Consider the following 15,288-nt stretch of genomic DNA (forward strand, 5'->3'; position numbering starts at 1 on the left):
AGGATGCAGCCTTGCTGCTTCCAGCTTCTGGCAGCTGGTGGCAGCATCACTCCAGTCCCCGCCTCCATCTTCAGGTGGCTGTCCTCCTTCTGTATCAGCCAAATTTTCCTCTTCTTACAAGGACAGCTTCCCTAATCTACTATGACCCATCTTAATCATATCTGCAGCTCCTTATTTTCAAATAAGGTCACATGTACAGGTTAGGACTTCAGCATCTCTTTTGGGAGACACAGTTCAACACAAAACAATCTGCCCTCTGATTCCCAAAGTTGATTTCCTTCACCTGTGCAAAATACATTTTCGCCCCATCTCAACATTTCCAAAAGTCTTAACACTTTCCGCGTCGAGCTTTCCTGAGCCCCTCTGGTGCAGCCACCTGCCTGTCCCATACACCCCGCCCACCATGGAGTCCAGAGGGAAATGAGCCAGCAGCCCCAAACCAGACACCAAGGCGCCCAAAGCCACCACCAAGGCCAAGGTACTTCTGGCAGACGATGGGAAAGCCCGCTTGACCAAGCCCTCGAAGAAGGAGGCCCCGGCCGAGAAGCAGCAGCCACTGGCAGCCCCCACCACAGTGCCTGCCAAGAAGACCCCGCCCTTCTCAACAACCACAGCCACCTGAAGCTGGTCCCCACGGGCTCCATGGTCCCCAGCAGTCCCGTTGCAACCCGGGAGCCCAAGGGTCCTGGGGACGGGGCGGCGGAGGACGAGGCTGCCGGTAGGTGTCCTAGGGGCCGAGGTCCCTGGTCCTGCGAGAACTTGAGGCCCCTGCTGGGAGTGGCCTATGCCGTGGCAGCCATAGCCTTGATCCTCGGTGTGGCCTTCCTGGCCTGGAAAAAATAATATCCGGGGCCAGGTGGTGGGCACGGAGCCACTTCCTGTAGAGACCTGAGGAAGCCAGTGCATGCAGAATTCACCCTTATCTATGTGTACACACGGACATTCATTACACGTCTATATATGCCCCCAACACATGCACACAGTGGCGAGGACACCAGGGCCCACCCCTGTTGATCCAGGACTTCCCCAGCCTCCAGGGCCGAGGGAGTCCATGCTCCAGGGTCCACAGTGCCGGATGCCGGGAGAGGGCACAGATGAGGAACTGCGAGAAAGGAATGGACCCTGTGTGGGATCTGGCGGTGGCTGGGTAATCCTGGGCCCCCAGGGCTGGTCTCTGAGTGCAGGTGGGGGTGCCGGGATGGGTTCTGCCTGGGCCCAACCCTCACGGGGACATCAAAGGGCATGGTTGTAAAAAGAAAAAAAAAAACCACACCATCAGATTGCATGAGACTCACTCATCATCACAAGAACAACATGGGGGAACCACCCCCATAATTAAATTACCTCCACCCGGTCCCTGCCTTGACACCTGGAGATTATGGGGATTGCAATTCAAGGTGAGGTTTGGGTGGGGACACAGAGCCAAACCGTATTATTCAAATAAGAAATCAAAAGAGGAATTGGAAAGTTTGTTGAGCTGAAAATGAAAACATGACATACCAAAATCAGGGAGTTGCAACTAATGTATGCTTGGAGGCAAATTTAAGCACTAAGATCCTACATTATAGCAAAAAAGAAATGTCTCAAATCAGTGACCTGAGTTTTCACCTTCAGAAACTGGAAAGAGACAGCAAATTAAACACAATGTAAGCAGATAAAGAAAATAATAATAATAAAAAAACAGAAATCAGTGAAAGAAAAAAGGGAAAATTATAAGAAAAATCCAAGAAAGTAAAAGCTAATCATTTTAAACAATCAATTAAATTGTTAAACTTCTAGTCAGCTGATCAAGAAAAAAGTAAAAAGGCACGAATTACCAACATCAGGAATGAAAGGGTGGGTGTCACCAAATCTTCTACAGTAATTATAAGGAAACAATGGACTACTGTAAGCCATTTTTTTCTAATAAATTTGATAACTTAGGTGAAATGAACACATTCTTTGGAAGCCATAAACTATCAAAGTTCACTCAAGAAGAAATAGATAACATGAGTATCTAGTAACAAAATCAAGTTTTTAATTAAAATCCTGATGACAAAGAAAACTATAGGCCCAGGTGGTTTTCATGGTGAAGTCTAACAATATTTAAGGAAACAATAACAATTCTACACAAATCCTTCCAGACAATAGAAAAGGAAAAGGTCCTTTTTTTATTAGATGAAGACAGCATTACTTTCTTACTAAATCAAACAGACATCATAACAAACAACAATAGAGACCAATATCCCTCTGAACAATGATGAAAATATTCTTAGCAAAATTTTAGCAAATCTAGTTTATCTATATCATTCATGACAAAGTATAGTTTATCGCAGGAAGACAAAGTTGATTTAACGTTCAAAAATCAATAAATGAACTTTATCATATTAGTGGACAAAAAGAAAAATGCATATGATCATCTCAATAGAAAAAGCACTTAGTAAAACCCAACATTGAGTCATGATTAAAAGCCCTCAGAAAACCAGGGATAAAATGAAGAGTCCTCATAGGATGCAGGCCATCTACACAAAAATCTATGTCTTCCTAAAATTGAGAACAAGGTAAAGATATCCACTCTCACCACTTTTATTAAACATTGTACTGGAGGTTCTATCTCATGAAATAAGGCAAGAAAAAGAAATCAGTCATCTAGATTGGAAAGAGTAACACTTTCCTTATCATTTGTGTAGACCAGTCCATGGAATCCATGAAATAAAAGCTATTAGAACTAATAAGTGAGTTAGCAAGGTGGCAGAGTTCAAAATTAATATACACAAATCAATGGTATTTTTACATATAACAATCATAAATTGAAATTTTAAAAGTTATTTCCAATACCTTTAACAAATATAAAATCGTTAGCCATAAATCAAATAAAACATGTGGAAGACTTGTACATTGAAAACTACAAAACATTGCTGAGAGAAATTAAAGAAGACCTAACTAAATGGAACATGTAACATGTTCATGGACAGGAAGACTTGAAGTTGTTAAGATATCAGTTCTCCCAAGTTGAGTTATAGATCAGTGGAATCTCAATCAAAATTCCAGAAGGCTTTTAAAAGTAAAAATCGATAACTGAACTTTAAGTTTTTATGGAAAAAATGAAGAACCTAGAATAGTGAAAATAATTTTGCAAAAGAAGAACAAAGTTGGAGGACTTACTTATCTGATTTCAAGGCTAAATATAAAGCTATATTAAAACAGTATGGTATTGGCATACATATAGACAAATAGATCAATGAAACACAATAGAGATTCCAGAAATAGACTCACATATATATGGCCAATGGATTTCTGACAAAGTACAAAGACAATTCAATAGAGAAAGTATAGTCTTTTCAACAAATGATGCTGAATCCCCCAAAAAGTGAACTTTGATTCATACCTCACCGTATATACAAACTTTAATTCAAAGGAATCATAGACTTTAAACTATAAAATTTAAAAAAACAATAGAGCAGAAATCTTCGTGACCTTGGATACAACATAAAAAGCATAATTCACAAGAGAACAAATTGATAGTATGCATTTCATCAAAATTAAAAACTTCCACTCTTCAAAATATACTGTTAAGAGAATGAAGACATAAATCAAGAGGACGTATTTTTAAATCACATATCTGTAAAGGACTTCTAAGCAGAACATATAAAACCCTCGAACCTCAATAATAAAATGCAAACATCCAATAAAAAGAGGAACAAAAGATTTGAACAGACACTTCACCAACAGAAATATTGATGGCAAACAAGATCATGAAAAGAGGCTTAATATCATTATTCAATAAAGAGATGCAAATTGAAACCACAAGCTGATACCACTACACATCTGCTAGAAGGTGTAAAATTAAACAGACTGATATACCAAGTGATGGCAAGGATGTAGAGAAATTAGAAACCTCCTACACTGCTGGTGGGAAGGTAAAAATGGCACAACCACTTTGGAAAACAGTTTGGCAGTTTATTAAATAGCTAAATACACCTACCATATGATCCAGCCATTCCACTCCTAGAGAGAGAAAAGCATATGTCTATATAAAGGTTTGTATGCAAATGTTTATAACAGCTTTATTTGCAATAACCAAAAGCTGGAACCAATCCAAATGTTCATCAACTCCTGAATGTATTAACAAATTGCCTTTACTCATAAAATTGAAGACTCTTCAGCCATAGAAAGAAATGGGGTTGTTGATACTGCCAAAAACATGGATGAATCTTAAACTAATTTTGCTGAAGGAAAGAAGCCAGACTTCACAAAAGTATGAGGACATACACTATGCTTCCAGGTATATAAAACTATAGAAAATGCAAACTAACCTATGATAACTGAAAGTATGTCAGTGGTTGCCTGGGGACAGGCTGAGGGTGGAGAAGTGGAGGGAAGGATTACAAAGGGCACAAGGAGAGACTGGGGTGATGGACACGTTTATTATCTTTTTTTTTTTTTTTGAGACGGAGTTTCCCTCTGTCACCCAGGCTAGAGTGCAGTGGTACAATCTCGGCTCACCGCAACCCCCACCTCCCGGATTCAAGCGATTCTCCTGCCTCAGCCTCCCGAGTAGCTGGGATTACAGGAATGTTCCACCACGCCTGGCTAATTTTTGTATTTTTGGTAGAGACGGGGTTTCACCATGTTGGCCAGGCTGGTCTCCAACTCCTGACCTCATGATCCACCCGCCTTCACCTCCCAAAGTGCTGGGATTACAGGCGTGAGCCACCGTGCCTGGCTGATATGTTTATTATCATAACTTTAGTGATGGTTTCACAAGCATAAACACATCAAATGCATCAAATTTTGCACTTTCAGTATGTGCGGTTTATTGTATATCAATCACCCCTCAATAACACTGTTTAAAAAAGAAATATTAAAATTAAATTGTAAATTATCAGAGTAAAAGATAAACACTAAAAGCACTTTAAAAAAGGCATAACTGTAAAGGGACTCTGATTAGATTGACAGCAAACTTCACAACTGCAGCAATCACGACCACACACAGTGGAACAGTATATTCCAAGTGCTGATGAAAATAATCATCAGTATGGAATCTACCCTGCTGAACAGTGTTCAAGAGATAGTATAAAATGAATGCTTTTTAAAATTATTTATTTTTAGGGCGGGGCTGCCAAGGGAGGAGGAAGATGGCTGCGGGGGCGAGGTGAGGTGTTGGCAGCGGGAAGGAGTTCGGGCTCAGGGGGCGGGGGGACACGGAGCGATGCCCGCGCAGGCCGTAGGGGCGGATAAAAAGCCGTAGCGCCATGGCTCACGCCTGTAATCCCAGCACTTTGGGACGCCGAGGCAGGCGGATCAAGAGGTCAGGAGATCGAGACTATCCTGGCTAACACGGTTGAAACCCCGTCTCTACTAAAAATACAGAAAAAAAAAAAATAGCCGGGCGTGGTGGCGGGAGCCTGTAGTCTCAGCTACTCGGGAGGCTGAGGCAGGAGAATGTCGTGAACCTGGGAGGCGGAGATTGCAGTGAGCCCAGATCGCACCACTGCACTCCAGCCTGGGTGACAGAGCGAGACTCCGTCTCAAAAAAAAAAAAAAAAAAAAAAAGCCGTCGCGCCTCGGGAGTGGGCTGGGGGGAGAGGGGGTGCCCAAGGGCCACAAGAGTATGACGGGGCTGTACGAGCTGCTGTGACGGGTGCTGCATGCGCTGCTCCGTCTGCACCGCACGCTCACCTCCTGGCTCCGCGTTCGGTTCCACACCTGGAACTGGATTTGGCGGCGCTGCTGCCGCGCCGCCTCTGCCGCGGTCCTAGAGCCGCTTGGCTTCACGCTCCGCAAGCATGGAACAGCCCTCACCACACGCACCCGCGCGGGGGGTAGTGCCTGCCCGCAGCCCACCACCGAATGCGCTGGCGCGCGGACGGCCCTTCCCTGGAGAAGCTGCCTGTGCGCATGGGCCTGGTGATCACCGAGGTGGAGCAGGAACCCAGCTTCTCGGACATCGCGAGCCTCGTGGTGTGGTGTATGGCCGTGGGCATCTCCTACATTAGCATCTACGACCACCAAGGTATTTTCAAAAGAAATAATTCCAGATTGATGGATGGAATTTTAAAACAACAGCAAGAACTTCTGGGCCTAGATTGTTCAAAATACTCACCAGAGTTTGCAAATAGTAACGACAAAGATGATCAAGTTTTAAATTGCCATTTGGCAGTGAAGGTGCTATCCCCGGAAGATGGAAAAGCAGATATTGTGAGAGCCGCTCAGGACTTTTGCCAGTGAGTAGCCCAGAAGCAAAGGAGACCCAAAGATTTGGATGTAGATATGTTAGTTTACTCAGTTCAAATGGTTGTCCTGATCCTGATTTAGTACTGAAGTTCGGTCCTGTGGACAGCACACGAGGCTTTCTTACCTGGCACATCAGATTGACTGAGATTGTCTCTTTGCCTTCCCATCTAAACATCAGTTATGAGGACTTTTTCTCTGCCCTTCGTCATTATGCAGCCTGTGAACAGCGTCTGGGAAAGTCGTGGTCATTGGTTGCATAATTCCATTTGAGGCTTATGGAGGAAAGGACCCAAGTGACTCTGATGTTTAGAAAGCACCTATGAAACCCTGTACACACCTAGTTCATAATCTTCATAATTTATCAACAAACAAAAAAGTGTCTTACTTGAGAGTGAGTGTGTGCGTGTGTGCGTGCACACATGTGCACGTTTGTATGTGTGGAAATAAACATAAATGGGGACGTGTTGGAGAAGGAAATACATAGACCTACAACTTTGAGCATATAGCAGTGATGTTTTAGGAACTGAAATGTCACACTTAATAAAGTCTTCAGCCCAGCTACTTCCCTGTTTTCGTGGGGAGAAGAGGGCCTGATTAGAACTGTTCTGGTTGTGTTTGGCGGGAGGGGAATAAATTTTGTTCAGTCCTTCTTAGTGACCAAACTTTAATTTTTAAGAATAATATATTGACTTACTGAACTGAAGCATTCTGAGTTGAAAGGAGCTCCAGAGGAAAGGAGTTCTGTGTTGCTCACATGTTAAAAGCTTGCTCACCTTCAGAGCAGAGGGAATACCTATCTTCAGATATCCGCCCATTTTCATCTCTTCATTATAGTCAAACAGTGTGACTTGAGAGTGTTGCTCTGGTGTCTGTATTCTGGCTTATGAAGATTATTTGAAAAACAACTCTTACTACATTGAAATGCAGACTTTAAAAAATTTAAATATGCGGCCTGGCGCGGTGGCTCACGCCTGTAATCCCAGCACTTGGGAGGCCGAGGCAGGCGGATCACGAGGTCAGGAGATCGAGACCATCCTGGCTAACACGGTGAAACCTGGTCTCTACTTAAAATTCAAAAAATTAGCCTGGCTTGGTGGCGGGCGCCTGTAGTCCCAGCTACTTGGGAGGCTTAGGCAGGAGAATGGCGTGAACCCAGGAGGCGGAGCTTGCAGTGAGCCAAGATGGCGCCACTGCACTCCAGCCTGGGCGACAGAATGAGACTCCCTCTCAAAATAAATAAATAAATAAATAAATAAATATTGGATTAGGCAGTCAGAAAACAAACCAAACAAGCATAAAAGGTCAATAAGTTGTAATCTTAAAAGTAAAGGTCAAAAACTCATGATAAGTGGAAAAAAAGTTTTGATTTCCTTTTTTGTTTGATGGGCAGTATGCCATATTATACCCAAACTTGGTTTAAAAAATATTCCCATCAACTATTTTTATTTAAAATAAACATTTGAGGGAAGTTACCACGGCAACTTTTTTTCCTCAAAAGTAACCTGTTCCTCTTTGGAACTGCACATTTTAGGGGCATGGTTAATACCTGAGATTTTTACTCAGTAAACCTGATGGTTACCGTGTGTAAAATATCTTTAAGTAGGATTGAAGGCCTCTGTGGGGAATAAAATATTGCCAAAGCCTATAAAAATAAATTTTACATGTTCTCTTTTATGACAGAGAGCAGCACTGGTTCTGTTATTTTTAAAATGAATAATTGATTTCTTGACTGGTGTTTAATATTTCTTTCCTCACTGCTGATTCTTAGATAGAAACCATTATTTATATTTGATAGACTGTTTTCAGAAAACTCTTATCAACAAGTGTACAATAGTTATCTAAAACTGTACATTTAGAATGGAGGAGTTTAATACTAGATCTCGGAAGTTTGAAAAATAGCAAAGAAGACTGGATTTGGAAAGCATGGTCTACAATTGCTTGTCAAATTCTGAAGCTATGAAGAATAAATGTTTCAACTTTAGATTATGAAACCCCATTTATGATTTTTTAAATACACTTGAAATAAAAATGATTGAACTAAATTTTGGTCCAGTGACATTACTTTGCACTGCATAGCCTATTATACATTGTAAGTCTTTTTGTTTTATTACTGAGATTTTTCTGTAAAGCTACAGCATATCTAATCAGAGAATTTCTGATTTGTTTCCTTATACTGTGATTATGTTATATTGAGGCATTTGTAGTGCAGCTTAAGACTGAATTTATGCTTTTTGTAAACATGATCGGTGTAAATGTCTTATAAACATTCTGGAGTATGTATAGCTTTAATGAATGAAATTTAATGGACCTGATTAAAATGAAGGGATTTAATCTTTGTTAAAGTGAAGTTAGTGGAATAAATTACCTACTGGAATATAGTCCAAGCCACTAAAGGTTTAATATTTGCATTTTTTTGCTTTTATTTTCTCCTTCCATTTATAAGTATATACTTGAAAGTACATCTGTAGCCTATGACTTGAGTCTCTTGAACTTCTAGGAAGAGGCAAACTACAAACTACCAGGATTCTGATTTCAGATATAGGCATTCCAGAATCTTCTCTTTATGAGTTCACCTGCTAGTACAATCTCCATAACTTGAATGGCATTGGTTGTTCTATAATTGCTGCCAAAATCATCACAAGCTGTACGTCATCAAGGCTCCCTTTGCACTCCCAAGAAGAACTGTTCATTTTAAACAAAAGTGTATGTCTTTATTTGTATTGGAAAATATTGTCTTTAAGTTGTTTCTTGTTGACACTCCCCTCAGTGGAAAAGTTACCAAATTAAACCTGTTTTATGGATGGCAGCTTGGAGCATAGCAAGAAGTTGGAGGATTTGAATTCCATTCCCAGTTCTCATTGTGTTTTGTTTCTTAAAACAATAATAATTGATTACTGTTATAAAGTTTAAAAGGTGGTTTTAATGTGAATAGCAAATTCTGGTATATTGTGACTAACGCTTAAGAATGCCTGTCTTTGAGAGGAAGGTGTTATAATATTAATGAACAGTGCCAAATACACTGTGCATATCTACAATTTAATCTTTGAATGTATGTTACTGGATTAGCTCCCTCCTCCTTCTTTGTGATGGTGCCATGCACAGAGTCAATCAAATCCTTGTGATGTTTTGTATGGACTTTAACAACATGTAAATAATGTGTAAAGCAAGTTTTTATGATTAAGGAATCAAATTTATTGAATTTTATTATTGAAAGTTGAAACTTAACATGTATGAACAAAAACCAATAAAAGAATATACTCTTTTCATTGACTATAAAAAATTATTTATTTTTAAAAATTCCACAAATACCATACATATTTATGGGATACACAGTGATGTTCCTATACATACAATGTATAGTCATCAGATCAAGGATATTAGCATATCTGTCATCTGAAATATTGATCATTTTTTGTGTTGGGAGAATTCAATATCCTCTTTTAGCTATTTGAAAATATACATGCTTGACTATAATCATCCTACAGTGCTATAAAACATTAGAACTTATTCCTCCTAACTGTAATGTTGTGTCCTTTAACAAATCTCTCCCTATATCCCCCTTCCCTTTCCACCCTCTAATAACCTGGGTTCTACTCTTTACTTCTGTGAGATCAACTATTTTAGCTTTTACATATGAGTGAGAACATGTTTAACTTCCTGTTCCTGGCTCATTTCACTTAACACCATGTCCTCCAGACTCATCCATGTTTTCGTGGAGGACAAGACTTCATTCTTTTTTATTGCTGAATAATATTCCATAATATGTGTGTGTGTGTGTGTGTGTGTGTGTGTGTATAAAATCACGTTTTCTTTAGCCATTCATCTGTTGATGGACACTTGGGTTGACTCCATAGCTTGGCTATTGTGAATAGTGCTGCAATGGACAGGGAGTGTGCACAACTCTTGGATGTACTAATTTTCTTTCCTTTGGCTCTTTACCCAGTAGTGGGACTGCTAGATCATATGCTAGTTCCATTTTTGTTTTTTTGAGGAAACTCTATACTGTTTTCTATAGTGGCTGTACTAGTTTACATTCCCACCAATAGTGTGTAAGAATTCCCTTTTCTCCACCTTCTCACCAGCATTTATTATTTTTTTGTATTTTTGACAATAGCCATTCTAACTGAAGTGAGATGATACCTCACTGTGGTTTTGATTTGCATTTATCTGATGATTAGTGATACTGAACTTTTTCCATATATTTGTTAGTCATTTGCATGTCCTTCTGAGAACTATCTGTTTGAATCATTTGCCCATTTTTAATTTTTTTTTTTTTTTTTTTTTTTTTTTTGCTGTTGAGATGTTTGAATTCCTTGTATATTCTAGATATGAATCCCTTGTTGGATGAATAGTTTGCAAGTATCTCTCACCCTATGCGAAAGTTAACTCAAAATGGATCAAAGACTTAAATATAAAACCTGAAACTATAAGAACTACTAGAAGAAAACACAGAGAAAATGCTTTACGACATTGGTCTTGGAAAAGATTTTATGAATAAGACCTTAAAGCACAGGCAACAAAAGCAAAAATAAACAAATGGGATTACATAAAAGTAAAACGCTTCAGCATACCAAAGGAAACAATCAATATAGTGAAAAGAGAACTGACAGAATGGATGAAATGAAGACTTTCAGAACCAAAGCATCCTGAGAGAGTGTCCCACTGAAGACCTACACACAACAGCCCACTAAGAGGTACACTTTGACCAAAAGTAAATTGAACCTGGGAAGATGGAATAAGATACATGAAGCTCGGGTGAGCAAAGAAAATGCAAGATAATACAGGTAAATCTGAAGGAGCACTGAGTGTGTAAAATAATAATAATAATAACTAATAATGCAGGTAAAAAAATACTACTGAACTAAAACCTTATAGAAGATAAACACTAACTTATGATTTAAGGAGAACAACAACCTCTTAACCTAAGAATACGAGAGAATTTCCTTATCCTGATAAAGAAGATTAAATCATATAGAAAGTATTATCTTTCATTGTAAAATTCAGTGCTACTCTAAAATCAGCTCTATTTTTATGCCTCATTGTGCTAGAGACCCTAGGAGCACATTGTGGGAAGAAAAGAAATCTGTTATAGGGTCTAAGAAGTAAAAAAAACTAAGCTATTATTATGTGCAGAATATTTTTGAAGAGGAAATTCAAGATAATCTAGAGACAGCTATTAGAATTAACTAGGGAGTTCAATGAATTGCAGGATATAAATTCAGCATAAAAATTACTAGCAAAAATTAGATAAGTATATAAGATTCCATTAACAGTGAAAAATCCCACAAGGTTCCTAGAGATACATGTAATAATAATGTGCAAGATGTTTCTAATAGGAGGAAATGGGTAAACTTTCTTGGAAGGCATGAAAGAAGACCTAAGTGAATGGAGAAATATGCCATATTCATGAATGGAGAGACTCAATAATGATGAAAACTATCATTACATTGATCTAAAGATAAAATGTATTTCCAAAATCTTTTCCCAAAATGTGTTTTTCATGCTGATTTACAAAATTAACATACAAGAGCAATGAGCCAAAAATAGCCAAGACATACCTAAATATAAAGGCGAGAGAGATAACAGATATCACAACTTGTTTTATAGAGCTACAAGTCTTAAGAGAGTGTGATATGGTTCAGGGATGGGTAAATAAAACAATGAAACTGAGGCTACAGCTAGAAAAAGAACCATGAATACATGTGAACTTGGTATATGATGGGGGCATTACCCCTCAATGGGGAAGGGGTGCACTACTTGGCACGTGGTGCTGGAGCAACAGAAAACAAATTCATCAAGAAAAAATAAGTCACAGGTAGGTCAACACCTACATGTGAGAATGCAAAGCTGTAAAAGATAACATGAGTTTATACTAATATCAAAACAGGAGGAACAGTCTGAGGTATCAGACACATTAAAATTTAAAATTCTGTTCAGAACAAGGCACCATCAATAAAGCAAAAAAATGTACATGCCTCAGTCTGAGAGGATATATTTGCAATCCACATAACCAATAAAGTATCACTATCCAGATACATAAATAGTTCTGAAAATCAGTAAGAAAAAGGCAAGCGACCCCATGGAAAAATGAGCAAATGATAAGAAACAATAAATATCAGGAGAAAACAATGGGCAATAAATACGTGAAAAGTGGCTGAACTTCACTGCTAACACTGAGAAACACAAATTAAAACAACTAGATGCCATTTTTCACCCATTAGAGTGTAAAAAATTAAGAAGTTTGATACTAATGAGTGTTGCCATGAATCTGTGGAAATGGAAACTCTGCTGCTGGAAGGCGTATAAATTGGTATAACCACTTTGGACAGCAAAGCAGCAATACTTAATAATAATGGCAATGATAGCACTAATGTTTAATACTTATTGAACATTTATAAAGTGCCAGGCATTGTTAAAAGCTGGTGTGGAAAGCTGACAACACACATTCCCAGAAGCCAGGGTTCTTTCTGCAGTGGCCTGGCCCAAGATCCCCTGCACACGGCACCAGCAGACACAAGCAAGGCTGCTCGTGGTATGGTGGGAAAGCAGAACTCATTTGCAAGTTCCTGAGTGGGGAAGGATCACTAATCTGTGCCTCATTGGCATGACAGAATATTCTACTCTACTTAACAGAAACACACTGAATTGATATCCATCAATATGGATAAATTTCAAAAACTTGATGTTGAGTGAAAAAAAGCAAGTTGCAAGAATCTTTACACCATTTTGCCATTTATGTCATCTTTAAGGCACAAAAAATATGGATGCAAGCATGTGATAGAAAAGTACAAACTTGTAGGTGGGAAATACAGACACCAGCCCTCCTCCATAGCGAGCTGACAGCCGGCTGGGGAGCTGCTGGGGTCCTCCATCCATCCATCTGTCCATGCATCCACAGGAGCCAGGCCATCTCCAAGGAGGGAACACCGGCTAAGGGAAGCAAGAGCCAGCCTTGAGGAGCTGGAAACTGGAGGAAGATTATTCTAGGAATTCAAGGACTTATGACATTTGAAATCTATTAATGTCATTTGTTATGATTCATTATACATTAAAAAGTCAGGAAACAGCAGATGATGGAGAAGATGTGGAGAAATAGGAATGCTTTTATATTGTTGGTGGGAGTCTAAACTAGTTCAACCATTATGGAAGATAGTGTGGCGATTCCCCAAGGATCTAGAACCAGAAATACCATTTGACCCAGCACTCCCATTACTGGATATCCCAAGGACCCTAAATCATTCTACTATAAAGACACATGCACACGTATGTTTATTGCGGCACTGTTCACAATAGCAAAGCCTTGGAACCAACCCAAATGCCCATTAATGATAGACTGGATAAAGAAAATGTGGCACATACACACCAAGGAATACTATGCAGCCATAAAAAAGGATGAGTTCATGTCCTTTGCAGGGACATGGATGAAGCTGGAAACCATCATTCTGAGCAAACTAACACAAGAAAAGAAAACCAAACACCACATGTTCTCTCTCATAAGTGGGAGTTGAACAACGAGAACACATGGACACTGGGAGGGGAACATTACATACCGGGGCCTGTTGGTGGGTGGGGGGGCTAGGGGAGGGATAGCATTAGGAGAAATACGTAATGTAGATGACGGGTTGATGGGTGCAGCAAACCACCATGGCACGTGTATACCCATGTAACAAACCTGTATATTTTGCACATGTATCCCAGAACTTAAAGTGTATTCCAGACAGTCTTTTTTTTTATTAAAAAGAAACCACAGGCTCAACTTAACATGCATCCAAGATAACACTTGTTAAAATCCTACCTCCATGCAGGATGAGAATTCCTCCAGAGGTGGGAACAGAGAAAACTTCATGCTTGGTAAAGCACCTGAGGCACCCATTACAATCTGGGACAAGATGAGGACATCAACACTCATGCTGTATTCCACATGGGAGGCCAAGTCAACGCAAGATGATTTTTAAGAGATATAAGAGCCAGGCGCGGTAGCTGACACCTGTAATCCCAGCACTTTGGGAAGCTGAGGTGGGAGGCTCACTTGAGGCCAGGAGATCAAGACCAGCCTAACCAACAAAGCAAGACCAAGACCCCTTCTCTACAAAAAAATAAGAAAATTAGCCTGGCGTGGCGGTGCACACCTGTGGTTCCAGCTACACTAGAAGCTGAAGGGGGAGGTTCACTTGAGCCCCGAGTTTGAGGCTGCAGTGAGCCACATTAGCGCCACCGCACTACAGCCTGGGTGACAGAGCAAAAGCCTGTCTCCAAAAAAATAAAATAAAAGCTATAAATACTGCAAAGAGGCAAAAACTGCTGTGGTTTACTGACAATATGATCATATCTAGCAAATCCAAGAAAAAAAAAAGTAAAAATTACTAATAAAGGAATTCAGTAATATAGTCAGAGATGAGGCCAACATATAAAAATCCATATCTTTATACACAAGAAATAACCATTTGAAAGAAGCTGTCCCATTTACAATAGCTAGAAAAACTGTAAAATACCAGGGGGCAGAGGTTGGAAGTAACAAAAATGCACACAAAACCTGTGAGAGGAAAACTAAAACTTTATTGGCAGACACAAAAGAAACTTTCTGAGTAAATGGAGAGAAATCTTGAACGAGAAAATTAACATTGTAAAGATGTCAACGGTCTCCCAAAGTGATCGAAATGCACCGTGGAATCCCAGTTAAACTGCAATTGCATCTTTTACGGAATTTGACGCACTGACTGAAATTCACCTGGAAAAGAACATGCTTAGTAAACATGGTTTCCTGGGGGGAAAAAAAAACAAAAAACAAAAAACAAAAACCCAAAAAACAATGAAAATTGGTCTTGCAGACAAGGTTCAAATTAGAGATCCCAGAAAGAAACGGATGTATCTCCGGGCGGTGAGGTACACTGGGAAGGGCATGTTCCACGGAAAGAGCAGATGGACTGTCTGGAAAACAGGCTGCCAGGGGACAAAATCAACACAGAGTTCCAAGTCACAAACACGGGTAAATTCTGTGGATTAAAGAAAGATATCTAGAGATCTACAAACACAAATCTAAAGAATCCTTGATTTCACTGGAAATCAAAGATG

The 15,288-nt window shown here is 39.7% G+C and overlaps 1 long non-coding RNA gene and 3 pseudogenes across 1 annotated transcript; 3 read left to right on the forward strand and 1 right to left on the reverse strand.

The window, feature by feature from the left end:
- The first annotated feature begins 149 nt into the window (after positions 1 to 149).
- On the forward strand, positions 150 to 895 carry LOC101060086 (cell cycle exit and neuronal differentiation protein 1-like; annotated as a pseudogene).
- On the reverse strand, positions 341 to 1,247 carry CEND1P2 (cell cycle exit and neuronal differentiation 1 pseudogene 2; annotated as a pseudogene).
- NUS1P3 (NUS1 pseudogene 3) lies at positions 5,091 to 9,491 on the forward strand (annotated as a pseudogene).
- On the forward strand, positions 8,833 to 14,504 carry LINC00566 (long intergenic non-protein coding RNA 566). The gene is made up of 2 exons (NR_131903.1): positions 8,833 to 8,919; positions 14,022 to 14,504. It is a non-coding gene; the product is annotated as a long intergenic non-protein coding RNA 566 (long non-coding RNA).
- The last annotated feature ends 784 nt before the right edge of the window (positions 14,505 to 15,288 follow it).

Source organism: Homo sapiens, chromosome 13 (assembly GCF_000001405.40).
Source record: "Homo sapiens chromosome 13, GRCh38.p14 Primary Assembly".
Classification (NCBI taxonomy): Eukaryota; Metazoa; Chordata; class Mammalia; order Primates; family Hominidae; genus Homo; species Homo sapiens.